Source organism: Homo sapiens, chromosome X (assembly GCF_000001405.40).
Source record: "Homo sapiens chromosome X, GRCh38.p14 Primary Assembly".
NCBI classification, from domain to species: Eukaryota; Metazoa; Chordata; class Mammalia; order Primates; family Hominidae; genus Homo; species Homo sapiens.
The window spans coordinates 153,822,107-153,848,385 of record NC_000023.11 but is presented as its reverse complement, the minus strand read 5'-3'; the positions used below and the strand labels follow the sequence as shown (position 1 = coordinate 153,848,385).

The 26,279-nt window shown below is 49.0% G+C and overlaps 1 protein-coding gene and 1 pseudogene across 6 annotated transcripts in view, besides 4 other annotated features; one reads left to right on the top strand and one right to left on the bottom strand.

Moving 5' to 3' along the window:
• Positions 2,026-2,893: an enhancer, noted in NCBI's record as "NANOG-H3K27ac hESC enhancer chrX:153110948-153111815 (GRCh37/hg19 assembly coordinates)". NCBI's record gives its function as "activates a minimal SCP1, AML or CMV promoter by ChIP-STARR-seq in primed H9 embryonic stem cells {active_cell/tissue: H9 hESC(primed)}" and the evidence as "EXISTENCE:reporter gene assay evidence [ECO:0000049][PMID:30033119]".
• Positions 2,894-3,762: an enhancer, noted in NCBI's record as "NANOG-H3K27ac hESC enhancer chrX:153110079-153110947 (GRCh37/hg19 assembly coordinates)". NCBI's record gives its function as "activates a minimal SCP1, AML or CMV promoter by ChIP-STARR-seq in naive and primed H9 embryonic stem cells {active_cell/tissue: H9 hESC(naive and primed)}" and the evidence as "EXISTENCE:reporter gene assay evidence [ECO:0000049][PMID:30033119]".
• Positions 6,718-7,203, bottom strand: CYCSP45 (CYCS pseudogene 45; annotated as a pseudogene).
• Positions 13,953-14,199: a silencer, noted in NCBI's record as "fragment chrX:153099642-153099888 (GRCh37/hg19 assembly coordinates)". NCBI's record gives its function as "represses an EF-1alpha promoter that drives an FKBP-Casp9 reporter gene in an ReSE screen in HepG2 liver carcinoma cells {active_cell/tissue: HepG2}" and the evidence as "EXISTENCE:reporter gene assay evidence [ECO:0000049][PMID:32094911]".
• PDZD4 (PDZ domain containing 4) overlaps positions 17,842-26,279 on the top strand; it is a 28,379-nt gene continuing 19,941 nt past the window's right edge. For 4 of the 6 annotated variants that reach the window (NM_001303514.2, NM_032512.5, NM_001303512.2 and 1 more), the window contains exon 1: positions 17,842-18,147. In NM_001303514.2, the coding sequence (NP_001290443.1) occupies positions 18,088-18,147 (60 nt within the window). In that variant the 5' untranslated portion in view covers positions 17,842-18,087. Of the gene's footprint in view, positions 18,148-18,426; positions 18,654-26,279 lie in introns of those variants that run through there. The other 2 variants (NM_001303516.2, NM_001303515.2) reach the window with 1 other exon arrangement.
• Positions 20,884-21,462: an enhancer, noted in NCBI's record as "OCT4-NANOG hESC enhancer chrX:153092379-153092957 (GRCh37/hg19 assembly coordinates)". NCBI's record gives its function as "activates a minimal SCP1, AML or CMV promoter by ChIP-STARR-seq in naive H9 embryonic stem cells {active_cell/tissue: H9 hESC(naive)}" and the evidence as "EXISTENCE:reporter gene assay evidence [ECO:0000049][PMID:30033119]".

The following is a 26,279-nucleotide window of genomic DNA, read 5'->3' as shown; positions in this document are numbered from 1 at the left end:
TACTGTAAGACTCACATTTTTACTAACAAACATGTTATTTGTTAACTTTGAAATTGATCTGTTTGGAATAATTTAATGCTGGGAAGACATAATCTCATCAAGCTGTAGGAGGCCCTCACTCATAGCCCAGCAGCGATTAGCTACAAAACAGTTCTACAATATCATCATTAGCAGGTCTATTCATATTTAAGGAAACAATTAGATATTGGGAGTATGACTATAGAACAGATGAAAAGAACAGCATCTAATCAATAGACAAATAGAAAGCTGGCATATATAGACAGAGGCTGCGAAGACAGGTATAGTGTCACTTCATTAATTGTACAATGTAAGTTCTCTCCAGTCCCAGTATGGATAGATAAACAAAGGGTTGTCTGTTATCCAGGGAGACTTAATAGGCTGTTATAATAACATAACTTGATTGGGACTGATGCCTGAGAAAGTGCCGATAGGATGAGTTTTCCTCAACTTAAAACAGATAGGGCAGTTTGGGCTCGGTGGTTCATGCCTGTAATCCCAGCACTTTGGGAGGCCGAGGTGGGCATATCACCTGAGGTCGAGAGTTCGAAACCAGCCTGACCAACGTGGAGAAACCCCGTCTCTACTAAAAATACAAAAATTAGCCGGGCGTGGTGGTGCAAGCCTATAATCCCAGCTACTCGGGAGGCTGAGGCAGGAGAATCACTTGAACCCGGGAGGCGGAGGTTGCTGTGAGCCGAGATCACACCATTGCACTCCAGCCTGGGCAACAAGAGCAAAGCTCCATCTCAAAACAAACAAACAAACAAAAAACAGATAGGGCTGTGTACATTACACCCTGGAAGTTCATAGTAAGACTTTGATCTGCCGGGCGCAGTGGCTCACGCCTGTAATCCCAGCACGTTGGGAGGCCAAGGCTGACGGATCATGAGGTCAGGAGATCGAGACCATCCTGGCCAACATGGTGAAACCCCGTCTCTACTAAAAATACAAAAAATTAGCCAGGCGTGGTGGCAGGCGCCTGTAGTCCCAGCTACTCGGGAGGCTGAGGCAGGAGAATGGCGTGAACCCGGGAGGCGGAGCTTGCAGTGAGCCGAGACCACACCACTGCACTCCAGCTTGGGTGACAGAGCGAGACTCCGTCTCAAAAAAAAAAAAAAAAAAGACTTCGATCCTAGATATGGCCATAGGTATCTTTGTAGTTCACATTGAGAAATACCACTCAGGAAGACAAAACAATTACCAAAGTGCCTACATTATTATTGTCAATATGATGTTACAGGGCCAGGCATGGTGGCTCACGCTCGTAATCCCAGCACTTCAGGAGGCCAAAGTGGGTGGATCACTTGAGGCCAGGAGTTTGAAACCAGCCTGGCCTGGTGGTAGGCACCTGTCATTCCAGCTACTCAGGAGGCTGAGGTAGGACAATCGTTTGAACCCAGGAGGTAGAGGTTGCAGTGAGCTGAGATCGTGCCACTGTACTCCAGCCTGGGCAACAGAGCAAGACTCCTCAAAAAAAAAAAAAGTTACATATATATACATATATATGTGTATACATATATATATGTATATATATGTGTATATATGTATATATCTATATATATGTGTATATATGTATATATCTATATATGTATATATCTATATATGTGTGTATATATATGTATATATCTATCTATATATATACACATACACACATATATGATGAAAACTCAAGAAATTCTGGGGGTCTTACAAGGAAAACTCTTCATTAAAAATTTATAAGACTCCAGAGTTAAACTACTCCTTAAGCTTGGATTGGATAAGATTTTGTAAGGAGCCATGAAATAATATTCAAATGGTTAGCCATTTGAAAGCTCAGGCAATGAAGATGTCATGACAGCTAGTACAATTAATGTGTGATGGAGGGAAATGTTTACACATTTGCCTACAAAGAATCTGATTGAACCCTGAACCATTGATGTGATATATTTGAAGGTTGTCCTCCAAGGCAAGTATTGTACTGAATTCAAAAACTGATGCTATTGCAATTGTGGTCATTGTTTTGCATTTTACTACGGGCTAGCTGGATATTTAGGCATCTGCAACTTGCCCAGAAGAAGGTAAAAGCAACAATGGTGTTAATTAAATATCGCAATGTTATTATTTCATAGTAACACAGGAAGAAGATTGTAAGGGCAAATACAGATTAAAAACAAGAGGCTTAATTCTCTCTGTTGAAAATAAGGTAAGAGACTCCCTGCACCTTTTTCCTTTATCTTTTGGAATTTCTTTCTCTGTCCTTTTCAAATGTATGTAGATGTTTTTAATGGCTAAAGAAGCTCTGGCCAGTTTCACAACTCAGGAATGTTTCCTCTCCTCTGGGATCCGGGAGCCAGCTTTTCGAAATGTAATTAATCATCCAGGAAGATAACTCTCTTCATCTCTCAGTTTCAGCTGCCACCTGGCTCCGAATTGTGAAACCTGCCTACTGTAGTGGATACAGACCCACTTAGCTGTATAGAAGAGTGAGGCCCTTTCTGTCTTTTGTTTTTAATTAAATTTCCCCAACATACTCCATAGCAATGGGGAAAGGACAACACCTGTTATAATAACATAACTTGATTGGGACTGATGCCTGAGAAAGTGCCTGGTCAGATGAGTTACATTTCCCCAACATACTCCATAGCAATGGGGAAAGGGGACAACTCCTTTCCCCATTGCTATGGAGTATGTTGGGGAAATTTAATTAAAAACAAAATCTTCTCCCAACCCAGAAAACCTCTCCACAAAAGTAGAAGAGAAAGAAAACAATTTATAATTGAATACGCATTAAACCAGAATGCGGTGTGCATCACAGGTAACCCACTGGAGGCATTGCAAAGACAGAAAGGAAGAAGACTAGCGCCCTAGCAGCCCCTTTGGGTCATGGCCTCGTCCCAAGGATGCAGAGGGCGGGCACTGAGACCATGAAGGCATGAAAGGAGAGGAAGGACTTGATTTGCGAGTTGTGCAAGTCATAGAATTGGCAATATCCCCTCCCCAGGGGTTCACACTGTGCATTTTCTCCAGCAGGCAATTGTGATGGGACCAGAGAATTGCCAATGGCTCCCTTGCAATGTAAAAGTGCCCAAGTTCCGATATGTGTAAGCAAATGCCTCTGCCCTCAAAGGGAGATGCATCTCAATGCACTGTTGCTTTTAAAGGAAGAGAGTACTTTGGTCAGCTTCCTGGCATTGCTTAAAAACAAGACCCAAAATGGACCTTGTAATAAGACCCTACAGAATCCTTCTTGAGGATCTTCAGCCTGGAAGTCTTTTTGTTTTTTTTTTTTAAAGAAAAAACAAATTTTGACCACTGCCTGACATTATACACAAAAAAATCAATTCCAGGTATGTTGTAGATCTAAGAACAAAAGGCAAAACAATAAAGCTTGTAGAAGACAACAGGAGAATATCTTCAGGACCTGGGGCTTGGGAAAGATTTCTGCTTTGCTTGCTAGGAGGCTGTCTGACTCCTCCTTTGGCCAACAATGGAGTTGGCAGGGGGTTTCCATGCACCCCGTTGCTTTTGTGTTGCTATGCAGAAGAGTGGAAATGCTGTCTCTCACTACCACCTTTACGTGTTTCTACCCAGTATCCTTTTAGAAGAGATGTTCTTTCTTTTTCAAGGAACGCCTGTCGAAATGCATCAAATGCCTAGTCAGCAACTAGTGATCCTGTGAGTTTCCTCCTTTAATTTGCTGAGTAATGAATTCTGTGGAAAGATTTCCTGATGTTCAATCACCTCTGTATTTCTGGAGTAGACCCGAAATTCTATTCTATTCATAATAATAGAATATTATGTCTTGCTCAGACATAATGTCTTATTCTTTTGCTATATCGCTGGAATCCATGTGCTTATCTTTTATTTATAATTTTTGCATTTGTAATCAGAAGTGACAGTTGTTCACAGGTTTCTTTTTGTACTCTGTTTAGGAGGTTTGGGCATCAACCTAGGTTTAGGTATTGTTGGCTTTATGAAATGTTTTTGTGTGGACTGGAATAGTTTAAATGATATCAGAATTATTTTGTCTTGAAAGATTATATAGGACTTGGCTTTGAAACTACTTAGGGTTGGTACTGTTTTTATGGAGAATCCCCTCTCTATTTTATTTTATTTGACACAGGGTCTCCCTCCATTGCCAGGGCTGGAGTACAGTGGCATGACTGTAGCTCAGTGCAGCCTCAAATTCCTGGGCTCAAGCGATCCTCTCACCTCACCCTCCTGAGCAGCTAGGACTACAGGTGTGTGCCACCACGTCCAGCTAATTTTTTAATTTTTGTTTTTGTAGAGATGGGAGTCTCACTATATTGCTCAGGCTGGCCTCAAACTCCTAGACTCAAGTGATCCTCCCACCTTGGCCTCCCAAACTGTTGGGATTACAGGCGTGAGCTACTGAGTTTGGCTTCCTTCTCTACTTTAAAATGGTAATTTGTAGACTCAAATTTTCTAGTTCTTGTTGGGTTTTCAGAAAGTTATATTTTGTTAGGAAATTATCAATTTTTTTCTGTTGTTAAAGAATCAGCTTTTGTATTTATTTACAATTTTTACTATTTTATGTTTTTAATCTTTATTCTCTTTTTCCCCCTTCCTTTGTTTCCCCTTTGGCTTCTCTCATTCTTTTTCTGGTTGTCGTTGACTTTTGATCTATCCTCCTTAATCATGCATATCTTGACTATTCTAACTGCCCCTCGTGGAAAGCTTGAGTTGTGTGTAGAGGTTGGGGTAAGACGTGTTCTTCTTTTCACGATGCTCTCGAAGCTTGTCGCTTCTGTATGCTCTCCTCTTTAATCCAATGATTGCTTAAGATAAGTTTTTTCTTTTCAACTTCTTACTTTGAAAATGTAAAAACCTACAGAAAAGTTGCAAGAACAGTACAATGATTTGGTCTCATCATTTGATATACTATTCAGGCATAAAAAGAAATAAAATACTGATCCATGCCACAACACAGATGAGCCTTGGAAGCATTGTGCTGAGTGAAAGAAGCTACACACAAAAGGCCACATAGCGTATGATTCCATTCATATAAAAGATCAGAATAGGCAAATCCATAGAGACAGCAAGGAGATGAATGGTTGCCAGGGGCTAGAGGAGGGGGGAACGGAGATTGATTGCTAACAAGTAAGGGGTTTCTTTTTGGGGTGATGAAAATGTTCTGGAATTATTAGTGATGGTGGCACAACATTGTGAGTATACTAACAACCACCGAATTGTATGTATGCTTTAAAGTGGGTAATGTGATTACCTTTTTTTTTTTTTTTTTTTTTTTTTTTGAGACAGAGTCTCTGTCACCAAGGCTGGAGTGCAGTGGTGTAATCTCGGCTCACTGCAGCCTCCGCCTCCCGGTTCAAGGGATTCTCCTGCCTCAGCCTCCTGAGTAGCTGGGACCACAGATGCGCACCACCACGCCCAGCTAATTTTTGTATTTTTAGTAGAGACGGGGTTTCACTATGTTGGCCAGGCTGGTCTCGAACTCCTGACCTCAGGTGATCCGCCCGCCTCGGCCTCCCAAAGTGCTGGGATTACAGGCGTGAGCCACCATGCCCGGCCTATTGTTTTTTTTAATTTTGCCTTTAAAATTGTGAATTATATGAAAATACAGAAAATGTATACAGACAGTTTAAGGACTAAAAATAAACCACCAACTACTGATGACAATAAACCTGAAACAAAGTAGAAATATACTAAATTTACTAAAACAGACAAAAAAAGGCCGGGCATGGTGGCTCACACCTGTAATCCCAGCACTTTGGGAGGCCGAGGCGGGTGGATCACTTGAGGTCAGGAGTTTGAGACCAGCCTGGCCAACATGGTGAAACCCCGTCTCTACTAAAAATACAAAAATTAGCCGGGCGTGGTGGTGGGTGCCTGTAATCCCACCTACTCGGGAGGCTGAGACAGGAGAATCACTTGAACCTGGGAGGTGGAGGTTGCAGTGAGCCGAGATCATGCCACGCCACTGCACTCTAGCCTAGGTGACAGAGTGAGACTCCGTCTCAAAAAAAAAAAAAAAAAAAAAGCAAGCAAGCGAGCCCTAGTAACCCTAAAAGTATAAAACAGATTGAAGCAGCGGTTTAAAAATCTTCCCACAAATAAAACAGCCGGCCCGCATGGTTTTACAGACAAGTTCTAGCAACTCTACAGACTCTGCCAGAGAATTGAAAAGGAAGGACCATTACCCAACAAAACCTTAATATTAACTAGGCAAAAACAGAACAAGATAGGAAGATTGTAGGTCCATTTTGGTCTGGAATACAGAGACAAAAGTCCTAAACAAAAATTTTTCTTTTTTTTTTTTAATGCAGGGAATTCTAATTAGATTGGCATAGTTAAGGCCAAAACTATAGACATTGCTCCCTTATTTACCTTCAACCGTTGCCTTTAAGAGGCAAATGAACACAAAACACAGGTGAATCTTGCTTGGTTCTAAGACAGTGAAGGAATTTCCCCAGTATTTACATATATTCACATAACCAGTCATATAAATCTAAATATAAAACCAATCTCCAGTAAGTTTTAAGACGGCACTCACCATCTTTGTGAAAAGTTGAACATTACTAACGAAGTCTAATCATATCTTTAGAAGGGGTAAACAGTGATAGCATTTACTGAATTGGAGTTACTATTAAAATTCAAGAACTGAACGTATTCATTTAACCACAAACCAGTCTTAGTTTTAAATCAGGACTGCTCAACAAAATATTCTGTCAGTCATTCATGATCTGAATTCTGGTGTATGAGATCTATTAAAGGATGGTATGCATACAAAAGTCATGAGACATTTCTGTTTTGTAATAAACAAGGCAGTGGCCAATTATTACTCATTAGTAGCTTTTTTGAGAAAAGCTATCGAGTCTGCCCTTTCTTCCTTCTTCTTAATGCCGACAAAGATCATTTTTGTTTCAGGTATGTGCTTCTTGGGATTCTCCAAATACTCCATCAGTGTATCCTCTCCCCAGGTGATGCCTTTGTTCTTACTGGCAACCGTGTAAGAGTATCCAGCGGCCTGACCTGTCTTCCGCCCGAAGAGGCCTTGGAGATTTGGCCCAGTCTTGTGCTTGCCTCCCTTTTCAACGGTGTGGCACTGGGAACACTTCATAATAAAAATCTTCTTGCCTTTCTCAACATCACCCATATTTAATTCTCCTTTTAGTCGCTGGCGCAGCGAAGATTCCCGCTCCGAAGCTGGACGTCCCCACTCTCACAAAAATTTTTCTAAACCAAATCCAAATGTGTATAAAGGAAAATAGCCAATAATGACCAAGTTCAGCGAATGTCAGTAAAGCAAGGTGATTTAATATTAGAATGTCCATAAATGTCTTTTTTTTTTTTTAACAGAGTCTTGCTCTGTCACCCAGGCTGGAGTGCAGTGGCGCGATCTCAGCTCACTGCAAGCTCTGCCTCCTGCCTCAGCCTCCCGAGTAGCTGGGACCACAGGCACCCGCCATCACGCCTGGCTAATTTTTGTATTTTTAGTAGAGATGGGGTTTCACCGTGTTAGCCAGGATAGTCTCGATCTCCTGACCTCGTGATCCGCCCGCCTTGGCCTCCCAAAGTGCTGGGATGACAGGCGTGAGCCACCGCGCCCGGCTCATAAGTGTCTTTTAACCCAGGAGCAGGATAAAGGAGAAAGACGCTGGTCATCTCGTCAAGTGCAGAAAAAGCATTTGCTAAAATTCAACACTTATTCATAACAAAAACTCTTAATAAGCTGGGAATAAAAGGGAACTTCCTAGACTTGATAAAATACACACATAATTGTATTAATAGAGAAATGTTAGAAATATTTTCTTTCTTTTTTTTATATATATTTTTTATTTTGAGATGCAGTCTCTGTCGCCCAGGCTGGAGTGCAGTGGCGCGATCTCGGCTCACTGCAACCTCTGCCTCCCAGGTTCAAGCAATTCTCCTGCCTCAGCCTCCCAAGTAGCTGGGATTACAGCCACCTGCCACCATGCCCGGCTAATTTTTGTATTTTTAGTAGAGACGGGGTTTTACCACGTTGGCTAGGCTGGTCTCAAACTCCTGACCTCAGGTGATCCGCCCACCTCGGCCTCCCAAAGTGCTGGGATTACAGGTGAGAGCCACCGCGCCTGGCCTAGAAGCATTTTCTTAACAATCAGTAACAAAGCATGCCTGTCCACTTGTGCCACCTCTTCTGGGCTTTGTTCCGGAGGCTCTAGCCGGGGTAGTATAGCAAGAAAAGAAATGCAAGGCATAAAGATTAGAACGGTGGAAATACATCTGTCAATATTTCACATGAAGTGATCTTCTGAAAAAAACAAAAAAAAAAATTCCGAAGAGGGTATAAAGACAAATTATTAGAAAGAAAAGAGACTTTAGCAAACTGACTGGACATAATGATGAATATACACAAGCCAAGTGTATGTCTATGCACCACCCATAGTATTTAGAAAATGCGCTCTGTAAAAAGACGTCATTTATAATAGCAACAAAAAATTTAAAAAACTCAGAAGTAAGTAAAATAAAAGATGTGGGCGGGGCATGGTGGCTCATGGCTGTAATCCCAGTATTTTGGGAGGCTGATGCAGGAGGATCACTTGAGCCCAGGAGTTTGAGGCTGCAGTGAGCTAGGATCATGCCACTGCACTCCAGCCTGGACAACAGAGGGAGACCCTATCTCTAAAATAATAATAATCATAAAAAGAAAAAAGAAAGATGTACAGAAAATTCTAAACACACTTTAAAAGACCTAAATAAATGGAGAGATATTCAATGGTGATTGTTAAGATAGTGTCAAATCTCCCCAAATTGAGTGAACAGATTCAATGCCACTCTAATCAAAATCCCCACAGGATGTTTTGAGAAACTAAAGTTCATTCTAAAATGTATATGGTAGAGCAAAGGTCAAGACTAGCTCAGACCACCCTGAAGATGCACGAGGAGGGCTTGCCTGGCAAATAACAAGGCTTATTATAAAACTATCATAATTAACAAAGCCTGACCTTAGTTCGAGGGTAGACAAAGTAGCCAGTGGGACAAAATAGAGAGCCCTAAAGAGACCCCAGAAAGATGGACCTTTAATATATGACAACAGCCTGGGCAACATGTCTCTGCAAAAAATAAATAAATAAATAAGTAAGCCAGATGTGGCATGCATCTGTGGTCCCAGCTACTCGGGAGGCTGAGGTGGGATAATCACTTGAGCCTGGGAGATTGAGGTTGCAGTGAGCTGTGATCGTGCCACTGTACTCTAACCTGGATGACAGAGTGAGAACCTGTCTCAAAAAAAAAAAAAGAGAGAAAAATACGTATATAATATGACAAGGTGGCAAGGCAGATTAGCGAGGAAAGAGGGATTATTTAACAAAAGGAGAAGGAAATAGAGGTGATTTATAATGGGGAAAAATGAAATTAGGCCCTCCACATCTTACACAAAAATAATTTCCAGATGGATTAAGGATTTAAATGTCAAAAAGGAAACTTTAAGATTCTTAAAAGAAAATGTAAAAAGTATCTTTCTGACCTTGGATTAGAAAAGGATTTCTTAAACCAGATATAAAAAGCATTAATCCTTAAGAAAAAAATAAGGTAGCCGGGCACAGTGGCTCATGCCTGTTATCCCAGCACTTTGGGAAGTGGAGGTGGGAAGATCGCTTGAGCCCAGGAGTTTGAGACCAGTCTGGACAACATGATGTGACCTCATCTGTACAAAAAATTAAAAAATTATCTGGGTGTGGTGGGTGCCTGTAGTCTCAGCTACATGGGCAGCTGAGGTGGGATGATCGCTTTAGCCCAGGAGTTCGAGCCATGTTTGTGCCACTGCACTCCAGCCTGGGCAATGAAACCCTGTCAAAAAAAAAAAAAAAAGAAAAGAAAAGAAGAGATAAGATGGATTTAATTACACTAGAATTAGAAACTTCTTTTTATGAAAGACTCCTTAAAGAAAGTAAAAAGGCAAGCTTCAAATGAAAGAATACACATAGCTGGCAAAGGATTAGTGTCTAGAATATGTAAAAAATTCCTACAAATCAATAAGCAAAAGGAAGAAGAAAATATAAAAACGGGCAAAAGACAACTCCAGGCAAAACAGAAGAGAAAACACATGTGGCCCAGAAACCATGGAAGAAAAGAGCAGCCTTGCTGGTAATCAGGGAAATGCAAGATTATGGTGGGGTACTGTTTCGCACACATCAGTCTGGCAAAAACGAAGGAATCCCCCAAATAGCAAGAGTTGAAGGAGATGTACGCTTGAACCCGGGAGGCGGAGCTTGCAGCGAGCCGAGATCACGCCACTGCACTCCAGCCTGGGCTACAGAGCAAGACTGTCTAAAAAAAAATAGATGAGAAAGATGTAGATCAAAAAGGATCTTGTACACATTGTTAGTGGAAGTGTAAATTGATAGGAGCACTTTGGAAAACAATTAGGGCTTATGTAAAGTTGCATGCTGGCTGATCTTACAGTAACTCCCAGGCATACATACAAGAGCAACTTCTCCCCCTTGCACTAGGAGACAGGTACACAAATGTTTACAGCAATGCTGTTTATTTATTTTTATTTTTTGAGATGGAGTTTCGCTCTTGTTGCCCAGGCTGGCGTGCAATGGCACAATCTCAGCTCACTGCAACCTCTGCCTCCTCGGTTCAAGCGATTCTCCTGTCTCAGTCTCCCGAGTAGCTGGGATTACAGGCGCATGCCACTACACCCGTCTAATTTTGTATTTTTAGTAGAGATGGGATTTCACCATGTTGGCCAGGCTGGTCTCAAACTCCTGACCTCAGATGATCTGCCCGCCTCAGCCTCCCAAACTCAACTAAAGAACATATAATTTTAAGCATATATGATACAGCTATATTAAAAAAAAAAAAAAAAACTAGGCCGGGGGTGGTGGCTCACACTGGTAAGCCCAGCACTTTGAGAGGCTGAGGGGGAGGGATCGTTTGAGCCCAGGAGTTTGAGACCAGTCTGGGCAATATAGTGAGACCCTGTCTCTACAAAAAAAATTGTAAATTATTAGCTGAGTGTGGTGGCATGTGCCTGTAGTCCCAGCCACTTGGGAGGCTGAGGTGGGAGGATCAGAGGGAGGATCACTTGAGCCCAGAAGGCGGAAGGTGCAGTGAGCTGAGATGGCACCACTATACTCCATTCTGAGCAACAGAGCCAGACTCTACTCCCTGCTGAAAAAAAACCTAAGTGGGAAGCAACCCAAGCACCCATCGACAAATGAATGGATAAAGAAAATGTGGTGCACCCGCACAACAGATTACTATTGCGCCATAAAAAGGAACGTAGTTCTGATGTATGTTACAAGATACATCAACCTGAAAACAACATGCTAAGTCACATAAGCCAGTCACAAAAGGACAAATATGGTGATTCCACTTACATAAAATATCTAGAATGGGCAAATTCACAGAGACAGAAAGTGGCTACAGGTTACCAGGGGCTGGGGGAGCAGGAACTGGGGAGCTATTGCTCAACGGGTGCAGAGTTTCTGTTTGGGGCGATGGCAGTGTTTGGGAAACAGTGGTGATGGCCGAACATTGTGAATGCTCTACTTATACAACACAAGTCAGTTGTACCACTGAGTCATACTGAAAAATGGTTACAATGGCAAGTGTTGTGTTATATATGTGTTCTATCACAATTTTATTTTATTATTTTTTATTTTTTTGATATATTTTTTCCAGACAGGGTCTCGCTTTGTCACCCGGGCTGGAGTACAGTGGTGTGATCATAGCTCACTGCAGCCTTGACCTTCTGGGCTTAAGTGGTCCTCCCATCTCAGCCTCCTGAGTAGCTGGGACCACAGTAACGCACCACCATGCCTGGCTGATTTTCTAATTTCTTGTAAAGACGTGGTGTCACTATGTTGCCCTGGCTGCTATCAAAATTTTCAAAAGCAGGAGAATAATAAATGCAAAATGCAGGATACTGGTTATCTTGGAGTGGGGAGGTGGTGTTGGGGAGACAGCAGAGCACCTGGGTGTATTTCAGTAGGGCATTGGTACGGGGCCCATTCCTGGGCTGGCCAGTGGACTTACAGACATTCATTAGCTTATTTTGTATTTATTTTATTTTATTTATTTTCTGAGATGGATTCTTGCTCTGTCCCCCAGGCTGCAGTGCAGTGGCGCGATCTCAGCTCACTGCAACTTCTGCCTCCCGGGTTCAAGCAATTCTCCTGCCTCAGCCTCCTGAGTAGCTGGGATTACAGGCGCCTGCCACTGCGCCCGGCTAATTTTTTTGAATTTTTAATGGAGACGGGGTTTCACCATGTTGGCCAGGCTGGTCTTGAACTCCTGACCTTGTGATCTGCCCGCCTCGGCCTCCCAAAGTGCTGGGATTACAGACTTGAGCCACCTCGCCCAGCCTTATTGATTTACTTTTTTGAGATGGAGTCTCTGCCACACAGGCTGGAGTGCAGTGGCACAATCTCGGCTCACTGCAACCTCCACCTCCCAGGTTCAAGTGATTGTCCTGCCTCAGCCTTCTGAGTAGCTGGGATCACAGGCATGCACCACCACATCTGGCTATTTTTTTTTTGTATTTTTGTTAGAGACTGGCTTTCACCATGTTGACCAGGCTGGTCTCGAACTTCTGACCTTAGGTGATCCGCCCACCTCGGCCTCCCAAAGTGTTGGCCACCGCGCACGGCCTTAGCTTATTTTCTAAACAGAAAATAAAACGAAAGAGGGCCTTGGGTGGACAAGTGTTGATGGATAATGATAATCTGGCTCTGTCAACTTGAAGCAACAACAACGAAAGACAGAAGGAAAATACCACGTTCATATGAGAACATGAGAAGCCCTCCGGGGCCCTGCCCATCTGAAAAAATGGCGTAGTAGGCCACGTGCAGGTGGCTCACACCTGTAATCCCAGCACTTTGAGAGGTTGAGGTAGGTGGATCACCTGAGGTCAGGAGTTCAAGACCAGTCTGGCCAACATGGTGAAACGCCGTCTCTACTAAAAATACAAAAATTAGCTGGGTGTGGTGGCAGGTGCCTGTAATCCCAGCAGCTAGGGAGGCTGAGGCAGGAGAATCTCTTGAACCCGGGAGGCGGAGGTTGCAATGAGCCAAGATTGTGCCACTGCACTCCAGCCTGGGTGACACAGCGAGACTCTGTCTCAAAAGAAAGAAAGAAAGAAAAAAAAAGTGTAGCAGAAATAGACCAAAGAGCAAAGGCAATTCAATGGAGAAACGGTAGCCTTCCCAGCAAATGGTGCTGGAACAACTGGACATCCACATGGAAAAATGAACCTAGGCACAGACTGCTGTGGCTTGAAGGTATGTGGCCTTCCAAAATTCATATGCTGAAACCTAATTATCAAGATGATGGTATCGCAGGGTGGGGCCTTTGAGAGGTGATTCGGTCATGAGGGCTCTACTCTCATGAACAGGATTAGTGCCCTGATAAAAGAGGCTTCATGCAGTGGTCTTGCTTTACTCCCCTTTTCCAACACGTAAGGACATCATGAGAAGATATCATTGATGGAACAGACCTTCACCAGGCATGGAACCAGTTGGCACTGTGATCTTGGGCTTCCCAGCCTCCAGAACTGTGAGAAAAATGATCTGAGACAGACCTTCCATCCTTCACAAACATTATCTCAAAACAGATCATGGACTCAAATGTAAAACACAAAACTATCGAATCCTAGAGGATAACATGGGAACATCAGGTGACACTGGGTTTGGTGATGACTTCTTTAGATACAAGGCCAACAGCACGACCCATGGAGAGAGAGAAAACAAAGCAGCAAACTCAGCTCATGGCCAAGTAAGGAAAGGGCAACCCGGTTACTCCAGGCCAAGGCTCCCAGGAGAAGGGAGCTGGACAGAGTTTCTGGGTCGTGGTCTGGCTTCAGCCTCCCTGACAGTCCCTTCTGGAAAAGCCAGTGGGCAAGGTCGTTAGAGACTCCTGGGAAACATGGGTCCCCACTCACACATCTGACACGGCTGGGCTGGGGACTGGGGATTGCACGCATCCAGTGGAAAAAATACAGTTGGCCTTCATATCCGTGGGTTTCACATCTGAGGATTCAACTGGCCATGGATGGAAAACACTTGAAAAATAAAAAATAGCAATACAACAATAAAGATAATACAAATTAAAAAACAAATCAGGCCGGGCACAGGGGCTCATGCCTGTAATCCCAGCACTTTGGGAGGCCGAGTTGGGCGGATCACGAGGTCAGGAGATCGAGACCATCCTGGCTAACACGGTGAAACCCTGTCTCTACTAAAAATACAAAAAATTAGCCGGGCATGGTGACAGGCACCTGTAGTCCCAGCTACTAGGGAGGCTGAGGTGGGAGAATGGTGTGAACCCGGGAGGCGGAGCTTGCAGTGAGCCGAGATCGCGCCACTGCACTCCAGCCTGGGCGACAGAGTGAGACTCCATCTCAAAAAAAAAAAAAAAAAAAAAAAAAAATCATTACACTATAACTGTTTATGTAACACTGACATTGCATCCGGTAATACAAGTAATCTAGAGAAGATTTAAAGCATTAGAGAGGATGAGCAAAGGTCCTATGCAAATAGTATGTCATTTTAGATCAGGGATTTGGGTGTCCATGGATTTTGGTATCCCCAGTAGGGGGAAGCCTGGAACCCATGCCCCGTGGACACCGAAGGACAACTGTAGTCAGAAGGGTGGGATCTTCTGTGTGTCCTGCTTCTAAGAGCACCATGGCCTTTTTGCAGCTCTCTATGGTGGGTCAGAGTGGAGCCCTTCTGTGGGGTGTCATGGCATCCTCAGTGGGTCCAAGCTCTGGGACGTGGAGGGAGAGCAGGGACCTACCTCATCAGCACAGAGTAAGATAGGACCCATCCAGATAGGAATCTGGGCCAGACTCACCTGGGTACCCATCTTCAGGTTAAAGAATGCTGGAGTGCCCCGGGGAGCATGGTGGTGCCGCCCTCACCCTGTCTCTATCTTGAGCGCAATCGCCCGCTCCAGCCTGACTGCTGTGCTGGGATGTCACTGCACTGTCCTCAAGCTGCACTGTCAAGCGCAGTAACTGCCCCATGATCAGCTGTCTCTCATGTCCTTCCTCCCGGACGCTCTCCCAGGGCTGTATATTTGTTAGGGTTTTCTGATTACAGGGAGAAGCTGACTCTAACTTTAGCAAGAAAATGGATTTATCTGGCATGATGCTGGGTAGATCACCAAACTGGTGGAATGTCTAATGGAGCGGGGTTTCGGACACACAGGCGAGACCGGTTCTTTTTTTGTTTTGTTGTTTTAGAGACTGAGTCTCACTCTGTGGCCCCGGCTGGAGTGCAGTGGTGCAACCACAGCTCCTTGTAACATTGAATTCCTGGGGCCAGCCATCCTCCCGCCTCAGCCTCCTGAGTAGCTGGGACTACAGGTGCGTGCCACCACGCCCGGCTAACTGAGACCTGTTTTGAGTGGGATCCAGAGCAAGAAAGGACCCTGCAGGAGGACTGGGCTGCGGGGCAAGCTGCTCTGCCACCAGCAGCGAGAGCCCGCCAACCTAACGGTGCTGGAGGGATCTGTCCATGGTAGGCCAGGATGCTGTGCGGAACCCTCAGGAAGCCTCAATGGAAGGATCCCAGCAGGGACCATAGAGGCTGTGGCAGGGCCACACCTTCGGTGGCAGAGCTACTCACTCACCACTGAAAAAAGCATAGCTGTGGCCATGCTACTGGGACCTAGGAGAGACTTACAGCCTGATCATGGGGCATCCAGGGCCTGTGTGACCCAAGCCACCCATTGTGAACTGAATATTGAGGTGGAGATGGCACATTGAGGCCCAGGCAGTCCAGACCCCCGGTCACCCGGCTCTTTCACACTGGTATGCCCCTTCAGCTCACACCTATGGCCTCATGGGAGGTGGTGATGGGGTGTCCCCATGACTGACTCAGACCCAGGTCCTCGACTGGTCATCTCATGTCACCACTAGGAAAAACACCTGCTGTCACACTGAGGCCCTTTGCAGGGTGGCCCTGAGAGACAGCAGTGAGGGGACATCCTCTAGGGGAGCAAGACACTAGGTTGTCTACTTTGTAGAGGGAGAAATGGCCTGAGATGAAGGTGTCCATGACCCCCGGGCAGTGGAAAATGGCTGGGCTGACTGGTCAGGGACCCGGGTGGAGGAAGATTGGAAGAAGAGACAGGTTTGGCGAAGAGGTACCTACGGGAGTGCTCAGGGAGAGTGTGGGGCCCCGTGCTCGTCTTCGCGCCCATGCCGCTGGGGAGCATGCAGTGTGGAGGGGGCGCGCCAGAAGCTAGCGAACAGAGGGGACCATCTGGTGGAGGTCAGCCAGCTTCTCCCCAGGATGCGATGGACCCACGATGCCAGTGGCCATGGTGGGAGGGCTGGAGGCTCTGTATAAGCCCAACGGCAAGGGCTTCCTCTTACCACGGCTCATCTAGACACTGCCGCTAGTGAATGTTCTTCCATCCACCAGCTGCAGAGACCGATGCTGAGCCCTCAATATGACGCCATTCCTCAAGACTAGCCAGCCATTGGGTGGCAGGTTGCAACCTGCACACCAGCCCTTGTCTCAAGTTCTGCTTTCTGGGAGAAGCCCTGGATAAGAAACTCGCCTCTCTTCTCCACATTCTGGGCAGGCCCGCCATTCTTGATTTCTCTTCTAACGAGGAGCCAGGGAGGAAAGGAAGGGCTCCGATTCAACAGCCCCGTGTGGCTGGGGGTTCCCTCACTTGCCCAAACCTGGAAATGAAGCATGTAGCAATTTCTCCAAGTGATCTCCTGCAGCCGGGGCAGCCTCTGGGAACGCAGACTTCCACCCGCTGCTGCTTTCCAGGCAAAGGCCTTCTCCCTCCAGGCTTGTCCAAGAAGACGGGGAGGTGGTGGGAGAGAAGAGGAAGAGATGGAAGGGCTGTGAAAGCGGGGACCGGGTGAGGGCTGGGGCTGAGGAACAGGTAGGCGGCGGGCCCAGGCTGGCCAGTGCTGTGTGCAGGCCCGGGTCCCAAGGCCTCCGAGGCCACTCTCCCCACGACCCACCCCCTCCCCACGCTTCGCTCATCCTTTTTTCTTTCTCTCTTTCTTTTCTTTCCTCCCTTTCTCTCTTTCTTTCTTGTTTTAAACAAAGGTGTCCGTTTCAAAGACAGCAGGGAATGGCTGAGTTGAAGGAGGGATGCAGTCATTTAAGGCGAAGCCCGAGGAAGGAGCAGAGGCGTGAGGGCTGCTGCGTCCAAGACCGGGGAGAGGGGCTGAAATCGCGGACTCTCTCTGGGGGACCCAGGAGACTGCTCCTCCTGGCAGGACCCCTCTCTCCCAGAGCGGCATCGCGCAGACAACGCGCCTGGTGCCCGCCCCTCAGGACCGGACGCCGGGTGTCGTGGGGTGCCTAGGACCCCCGCCCGCTTCCGTCGAGCGCCCGCCCCCGGCTTCCCGCGCCGGCTCCAGCGCCCCCGCCGCTCCCTCCCGCAGCCGGCCCCGCTCCCCTCCCCGCCCCTCCCGGCGCGCGTGCGCCCCGTGCCCGCGCCCCTCCCCCGCCGCCGTGGGCGCGCTCGCGTGCCCGTCGTCCCGGGCGGGAGCTGGAGACGGCCAGCGGCTGCTGGACGAAGAGCGGGCGCCGGGAGCTCCGAGAGCGCGGCCGGGCGAGGCGGGAGCGCGGGCGCTGGCCTGGCCGCGGGCGGGGGCCGCCGCCGCGCCGCTGCCCCCCTGTCGCGGGCCGGGCCGCGGCGCCGAGCGCGAGGGCCGGGCTCCCGGGGCTGGCGGCCATGGGCAGGAGCCGGAGGCGGCAGCGGCAGCGGCGGGCCCCGCGGGCGGGGAGGCGCGCGGCCCACGGCCCCTGACGGCCCCTGGCGGCCCGGCGCGCCCCCGCGCTCCCTGGGGGGCCGTAGCCTGGCAACGCCCGGCGCGCCCGCCCATCCCCCGCTGCCCTTTTTCTCCTGGCCGGGTGCGAGGGAGCATGCCCGCGCCTGGCCTCGGCCAGCGAAGAGTTAACCTGAGGGGCGAGCCGCTGCCCCCACCTCGGGGGCGTGCCCCCCTCCCCCGCTAGGCGGCCCGCCCCCCGCGCCAGGGTATGGCCCCTGGCCCCGGCCCGGGACCCGAGGTCCCGCGCCCGGGTCAGTGAAAGGCGTCTTCCCGTTCCCGCCCTCCGCCTCCTCTCGCCGGCCAGCAACATGGGATGTAATATGTGCGTGGTCCAGAAACCGGAGGAGCAGTACAAAGTGATGCTGCAGGTAGGGCCGCCGGCGCTGCGGCGGGGGCGCGGCCCTCCGCGGGGAGGAGCGGGCCAGTGGGGAGGCCCGGAGCGGCGGGCGTGGGAGAGCGGGAGGGCTCGAGGAGGACAAGGTAGGGAGCCGTCCGCACCCTCCCATCCTGGGGCTGTTGGGTGTTGGCGCTCCGTGGGAACCAGCCACGGGTGGGGTGGGAAGTTGGGGTTGGCCCGGGTGGGGCGCGCTTCCGTCCCGGGAGGCGCGGTGCGGCGGGCGCGGGATGGAGGTTGCATAGCAACGAGCGCAGTTCCCCGCACACGCTCTCCCCGCAGGACCCAGGGCGGGGGAGGGAGCCAGGCTCCCGCCGTGCGGGGGGCGCCGAATCTAGATCCCGGCGGGCCTGGAGCGTGGGAGTGCGTGGGCGTCCCCGGGCGCGGTCCAAGTCCGTCCGGGGGCTGGGTGCCCACCCCGACACCCACTCCCGCCTGGCCCTGCCCGAACGATGGGCTCCCGGGCCTTAGGCGTCTCGGGTGAGTGGGCGCCGCCGGGATCAGCGGGTTGGGCTCTCTGCGGGTGGCAGTGCCTGGCCGGGCTTTGCGGGGCGTGGACCAGCAGGGCCCCGCGGGGAGGGAAGGAGACGCGGGGCCCGGAGCTCGGACCTGGAGCCCAGCCCCGCGGCCCGGAACGGGGCTTCTTGCCTGTGCGTGGCGTGACTACGTGAGTGCGTTCCTGTGCCCCGTCTCTGTGTGCGCGGAGGCTCCCCCGGCCCCGCATTTGTGTACTTTCTGTGTGCACCCTGCAGACTGTCTAGAGAAATGTCCCGGATGCTGTGGGCTGAGACCTCCTAGGGCTAAGTGGAGGGAGGTCAAGGTCAAGGCACCCAGGAGCAGACAGGGCTCAGACAGGTATGCGTTTAGTGGCCTGGATTCAACTCCCGGGTTTATTGGTCTGGACTGGGAAGGAATCAAGTGCTTTGCAGGAGGGGTGTTGGCTTGGGAGAACGTGGGGGAACCCGTGCAGGGATCGGCGAGAACTCCGGGGCGGGGGCGGGGGCGGGGGAAGGAGGGGCTGGGCACGGGGGAGAATTCCCAGGAATCCGGGGACTGACTTCACGCTGTGAGCCGAGCTCCTCTGGCCACCTGGTGCGGGAGCCGAGGGGCAGGGCGGGGACGCAAATCTTGCCCCACCCTGGCGGAGCTCCTGGTCCTCTCTCCCCGGCCCTTCTCCGGGGGTGCGCGGGGCCCTCGGCTTCTCCCGTTCGCTGTCCTCCGCCTTCTTCCCTCTCAGTTCCCGGCTGCCACTCCTCGTCTCTTGTTCCCGCTGTTTGGAAACCTTGTGTGGCCATTGCCAGCCCCCTAGCGGGATAGGAATGCGACCGAGAGGGCGTCCTGTGGAATCCGTGTTGGATTCCAGGGCTGGGATGGTTGGTTGACGGGGACTCTGGATCCCATCCTCCTGCTTCCTTTTCGGGAGTCATTCCATCAAACGGCAAGCGATTTCTCCAAGCGATTCCTCCGGGGCCGTTTTGACTTTCCTGGAGAAGGATTGGTGTCGCACTTCATTTAAGGCCAACCTCGTGGGGACGTGTGGATAGGGGAGAGCGACCCGAGCTGCACCCCAGGCCTGAAATGAGCCATGGGACGACACCGGTAGCCCTTGGGGCTCCCCACAGCCCTCCGGGAAGGCCTCGGCAGGTCGGGCTGGGCCTGCCTTCAGGGAGGTGAACTTGGGTGGGCCCTCCCTGCTCTGCGCCCTAAGCTCTCCTTCATGGAAGGGACTTGCCCACCCCAAGGAGACCCGCCAGGAGGAGGGCCACTGCCGCATGCGCCCTCTGTGCGCTTTCCTGCTGGGCTCCCTTTGAAACCGTGGGAGTTTGGCTGCAAACTTTCACTTTCTACATTCCTCCTTGGCCCAATCAAAGCCGGGATTTTACGAGGAGAACCATCCTTCACAACTAAGGGAAAACAAGAGGACTGAAAAAAGTAGATACGGAAAGCAGTGCAAGCCATGAGCTGTCCCAGGGGACTGCGCTTCTGGGGGTGGACGCATCACCAGGTCCCAGCCTCTTCAGAGGAGAAGGAGCTTTTGTTCCAAAAGACAGGTCAGCTTCTGGGACCCCGTGCCTGCCTCCCGGCCTCCTTAAACACGGGTGCTCCCCCATCTTTAGGGGGCACTTCTCCCTGTCCCCCCTGAGTAACCTCGTCCGCACCTTGTCAGGGTGAGGCACTTCATGGGCCTGATTTTCAGAAAGAAGCACATGTGCATCTGCAGCGCCTTCCATCTACAATCCACAGAGGCCTGGGATCCCCAGGCCAGGAACCCCCAAGTCTCTAGCCTAGCCTTGTGTTCCAAGCCATTTTCTGCCAATGACTCACAACACTTCCAAAATTACAGCTGTATTGAGCTATCATTCTCCTACTGCACAACTTACCCTTTCAAAGTGTACAAGTCAGTGGTTTTTAGTATACTCACAAGGTTGTGCAGCCCACACCAGTAATTCCAGAACGTTTTCATCACCCCAAAAGAAACCCTGCACTCCTTAGCAATCACATCCCCATTTCTCCCTCAAACTTCCTAGCCCCTGGCACCCACCAATCTACTTCCTGTCTCTATGGATTTGTTTATTCTAAACATTTCATAGAAACTGACCTTTTGTGTCTGGCTTTCATTAATCATAATGTTTTCAAGGTTCATCCATGTATCAATAGTCAATTTCTTTTTATTGCCAAATAATATTTCATTTTGTGATATACAACATATTTATCCATTCGTCAGTTGATGAGCATTTGGGGTGCTTCCACCCTTGGGCTGTTGTGAATAGCGCTGCTGTGAACACTGGTCTACTTGTATCTGTTTGAGTCCTTGCTTTTAATTCTTTGGAGTGTGTGCCTGTAGCCATTGAACTGTTTTCCACAGTGGCTGGAACCAGTTTACATTCCCACCAGCAACATATAAGGGTTCCAATTTCTCTATATCTTTGCCAACAGTTGTTATTTTCTGGGTTTTTGTTATGGCCGTCCTGCTGGGTGTGAAGTGGTATCTCATTGTGATTTTGATTTGCACTTCCTGTTAGCTAAATGATGAGCACCTTTTCTTGTGCTTGTTGGCCATTTGTGGATCTTCTTTAGAAAAATGTCTGTTCTTAAGCCAGCGCCACACTGCTTTCATTACTGCAGCTTTGTAGTAAGTTTTGAAGTAAGGAAATGAGAGTCCTCCAACTTTGTACGTCTTTTTCAAGACTGTTTTGTCTATTCTAAGTCCCTCAAGTTTCCATATTAATTTCAGGATCAGGTTGTTAATTTCTGGAAAGAAGCCAGTTGGCATTTTGATAGAGATTGCATCAAATTTGTGGATCAATTTGGGTAGTATTGTTCATGAGCATGGGGTGCGTTTTCCATTTATTTAGGTCTTTAATTTCTTTACATGATGTTTTGCACTTTTGTTTAAGTTTATTCATGAGTATTTTCTTTATGATGCTATCATAAATGGAATCGTTTTCTTAATTTTACTTTCAGCCTTCTCATTGCTACTGTATAGAAATACAATTGATTGGCTGAGCGTGTTGGCTCACACCTGTAATCCCAGCACTTTGGGAGGCCAAGGCGGGTGGCTCACCTGTGCTTAGGAGTTCAAGACCAGCCTGGCCAACATAGTGGAACCCCGTCTCTACTAAAAATACAAAAAAAATTAACGGGGCATGGTGATGTGTGCCTGTAATCCCAGCTACTCAGGAGACTGAGGCAAGAGAATCGCATGAACCCCAGAGGCAGAGGTTGCAGTGAGCTGAGATTGCACCGCTGCACTCCAGCCTGGGTGACAGGGCAGGACTCTGTCTCAAAAAAAAAATTGATTTTTATACATTGATCCTATATCTTGCGACCTTACTAAAATTGTTTATTAAGTATAATTTGTTTAGTAGATTCCTCAGGATTATCTACATATTAGGATCATGTCATTGGCAAATAGAAATCGTTTTTCTTCTTCCTTTCCAATCTGGATGGCTTTGATTTCTTTTCTTTTCTTTCTTTCTTTTTTTTTTTTTTTTTGAGACACAGTCTCACTTTGTCACCCAGACTGGAGTGCAGTGGTGCAATCTCGGCTCACTGCAGCCTCCGCCTCCCGGGTTCAAGTGATTCTCCTGCCTCAGCTTCCCATGTAGCTAGGATTACAGGCACACACTACCACACCCAGCTAATTTTTGTATTTTTAGCAGAGACGAGCTTTTGCCATGTTGGCCAGGCTAGTCTTGAACTCCTGGCCTCAAGCAATCCTGCCCGCCTCGGCCTCCCAAAGTGCTGGGATTACCGGTGTAAACCACCGTTCCTGGCCCTTCGATTTCTTTTTCTTGTTAATTTGCTCTGGCTGGAGTCTCTAGTACAATGTTGAATAGAAGTGCCTGTGAATGTCTTTCCCTTGTTCCTCATCTTAAAGGTAAAGAAGCTTCCAGTCTTTCACTAGGGGGTATAAAGTTAGCTGTGGCTTTTTCATAGCTGTCCTTTATCAGGGTAAGGAAGTTCCCATTCTATTCCTAGTGTGTTTTTATCATGAGAGGCATTGGATTGTGCAGTGCTGCTTCTGTGGCTAGTGAGATGACCACATGGTTCCTTTATTCCACGGATGTGGGTTGTCACAGGCACTTTCGTGTGTCATGTCGGAACCTCAGCCCCATTCCTATATTCCAATCATGTCCTCCTAGTTTGGAAAATCTGGGACCTCCCCTGAAAATGGAGGATTACTGCGTGTTGAGTTAGGAAAAGGAAGCAGGCTGGTTGCCCAGAATGGAAGGCAGGAAACAGCATGTCCCCAGCTCCGGAGCCTTTTCTGCAGCCCATGTCCCTCCACTGCCACCAGGCCCCCTTGTCATATATCTCATCGTGGTCCACACTCTGCTGAACTTGTCTTGGCCTTGGCACCCCCTCTCTGACACCATGATGTGCTTGCTAGCATCCGAGCACGCCGGAGATGGTCAGGGGATAAACCCCTGGTACTTAGGACTGGTCTCCCGCCCATCCTACTCAGGCTTTACAGGGGGAGTGGGTCAGGACCGCCTGTCATCTCCCCTCTGTCCACATCGAGGGAGGCCAAAGGACAGCTGGCCAGCCCTTCTGGTGATCTCCCAGGCATTCTTGCCTAAAGCACCTGCATGTGAGCCCCCATGGTGCTGGCAGCCATCCTGGGTGCGTGGCATTCAGCAGGGAGACACTGCAGACAGGGCCTTGCCCCTCCCCCAGACTCCCCTTTTGTTGTTGTTGTTGTTGTTGTTTGAGACAGAGTTTCGCTCTTGTTGCCCAGGCTGGAGTGCAATGGTACGATCTGGGCTCACCAAAACCTCCGCCTCCAGGGTTCAAGCGATTCTCCTGCCTCAGCCTCCCGAGTAGCTGGGATTACAGGCATGCGCCACCATGCCTGGCTAATTTTGTATTTTTAGTAGAGATGGGGTTTCTCCATGTTGGTCAGGCTGGTCTTGAACTCCCGACCTCAGGTGATCCACCCACACCGGCCTCCCAAAGTGCTGGGATTACAGGAGTGAGCCACCACGCCTGGCCCCAGGCTCCCCTTTTTGTAAGGGGGAGACCATCGCCAACATGTAGGCAACTGCGGGGGAGAGAAAGTACTGCTTGAGTGCGGGAGCGTGGCTGGCAGCCAGTGTCCCCTCTTCAGCGACGTCTTCCTCCAAACTGCTCTCCCACCCACCAAGCCAGGTGGCTTCTCTGGCTCCCTCCTGCTTGCATGGGGGCTTCCTGTGAGCAGGGATTTGGGTCTGGCATGGGCACTCTGCCTCCCCGCCTCACCAGCACCAGATGCTGCCAGCACATCCACGCTGGCCTCCACCCTTCCAGGGGAAAGCTGGACTCTCAGTCAACTCAGTGGTTCTGCCGCAGAAGCTGACTGGGGAAGAAGCAGGCTCTGAGAAAGTCCTTGTGGAGTGGAAGAACAGAGGGCTGGACACTGAATTCTGACTGCCATCTTCTGGACCAGGTCATCCTGTTTTGTGTCATTGTCCCAAGATTGTAGAATGCCCTTTCCCCTCTCATCTCGGGGTTCCTGAGGACTGTCCAGTCTGCTGAAATGAAATTCGATAGTGCCAGAGAGCAGATTCGTGGTTGCAGGGATGGGCAGAGGGGCATGAGGACACTTTTGGGGAAGATAGAAATGGCCACTGTCCTGACGGTGGTGATGGTTCCCCAGGTTCATGTATGACATATGAACACCTGCCCTTTGCACACTGAAGATGTGCAGGTTACCACCCAGCAACAGACCTCACCAAAGCTTTAGAACAGGAACTCCATGGCCACATGCACGCATCCTGGGGAGAAAGGTGTCCTTTCCTTCCTTCTACTTCAGGGGCCCTGCCAGAGAAGGCAGTGCAGTGTGGAGATAGGAATGGAGGCAGCCACCAACTGACAGCTGTGTGGCCAGGGGCAAGTCGCTGCATGGCCCACTGGCTCAGTGACTCAGTTTCCTCAACTGTGAAATGGCAGTGAAGAGTGCTTGCGTCCGAGGGCCATTGTGACAAGGAAAACAGATGGTGTGTCCCCCGGGATCTCACTGGGTGGAGGAGGGAGTTGCTGCCCTCGGGCCATTCAGTTGGTCATTAAGAAGTGGAAATTGGCTGGGTGCGGTGGCTCACGCCTGTAATCCCAGCACTTTGGGAGGCCGAGGCGGGTGGATCATGAGGTCAGGAGTTCGAGACCAGCCTGGCCAGCATGGTGAAACCCCATCTATACTAAAAATACAAAAAATTGACCAGGCGTGGTGGCTCACGCCTGTAATCCCAGCACTTTGGGAGGCTGAGGTGGGCGGATCACCTCAGGTCAGGAGTTCGAGACCAGCCTGACCAACATAGAGAAACCCCATCTCTACTAAAAATACAAAATTAGCCGGGCATGGTGACACATGCCTGTAATCCCAGGTACGCGGGAGGCTGAGGCAGGAGAATTGCTTGAACCCGGGAGGTGGAGGTTGTGGTGAGCTGAGATCACGCCATTGCACTCCAGCTTGGGCTCGAAACTCCATCTCAAAAAAAAATATATATATATATATTAGCTGGGCATCATGCACCTGTAGTCCCAGCTACTCGGGAGGCTGAGGCAGGAGAACTGCTTGAACTCAGCAGGTGGAGGTTGCATGAGCCAAGATCAAGCCACTGCACTCCAGCCTAGGTGACAGAACGAGACCCTGTCTCAAATAAATAAATTAATTAAATAAAAAATAATGAAAAAGGAAATTATATGGAGAAGGCCTTACATCTGGGTATGTCACAGTTAATGCCCAGTGACAGAAGAATGTCCAATATTATTCTGAGAATTTCTCTCAGGAAAGGGACCTCCAAGTTTTGAAGAAGTGTGATGTAGTACAATATTAGTTAGGACAGCCTGGGCAACATATTGAGACCTTGTCTCTACAAAAATAAAAAATTGCTCAGGCGTAGTGGCATGCGCCTCTAGTCCCAGCTTCTGGGGAGGCTGAGTGGGAGGATTGCTTGAACCCAGGAGTTGGAGGCTTCTGTGAGCCGTGATTGTACCACTGCACTCTAGCCTGGGCAATGGAGCCAGACTGTGTCTGGAAAAAAAAGAAAGAAAGACAGAGAGAAAGAGAGAGAGAGAGAGGGAGGGAGGGAGAGAGAGAGAGAGAGAGAAAGAAAAAACAGATGGACAGGGAACAAAGCGGAGGCATATGTGGTCATTTTGCACAGGAGTTGGGCCGGAGGAGGCGAGGCTGAGCAGCCTGGGGCTGGACAAGATGTCCTCCCTTTCAGTGCATTCTGCCTGTCCTCATGGCTGCTTGGAGCATTGAGAATGAAAAACGCTGCAGAGGGAATATTGCTTTGATTGTAAAACGCTGCAGAGGGAATATTGCTTTGATTGTTGCTAGATGTGAACTGTGCCCTTAGCCAGTCAGGTTAGCCTGAGGTGGGTGGGAGGATGGGTTTAGTTGCTGGGCCACGTGCCTGGAAAGCTGTGAATATGTACCCGAAGGTTGATCTTGAGAATGGCTTCAGGAAGTGGTTGGCTTTTCCTGTGCAAGGTGTGGGACACCCCTCTTTTCCTGTGTGTTTTTTTTTTTTTTTTTTTTGAGACAGAGTCTTGCTCTGTCACCCAGGCTAGAGTGCAGTGTTGTGATCTCGGCTCATTGCAGCCTCCGCCTCCTGGGTT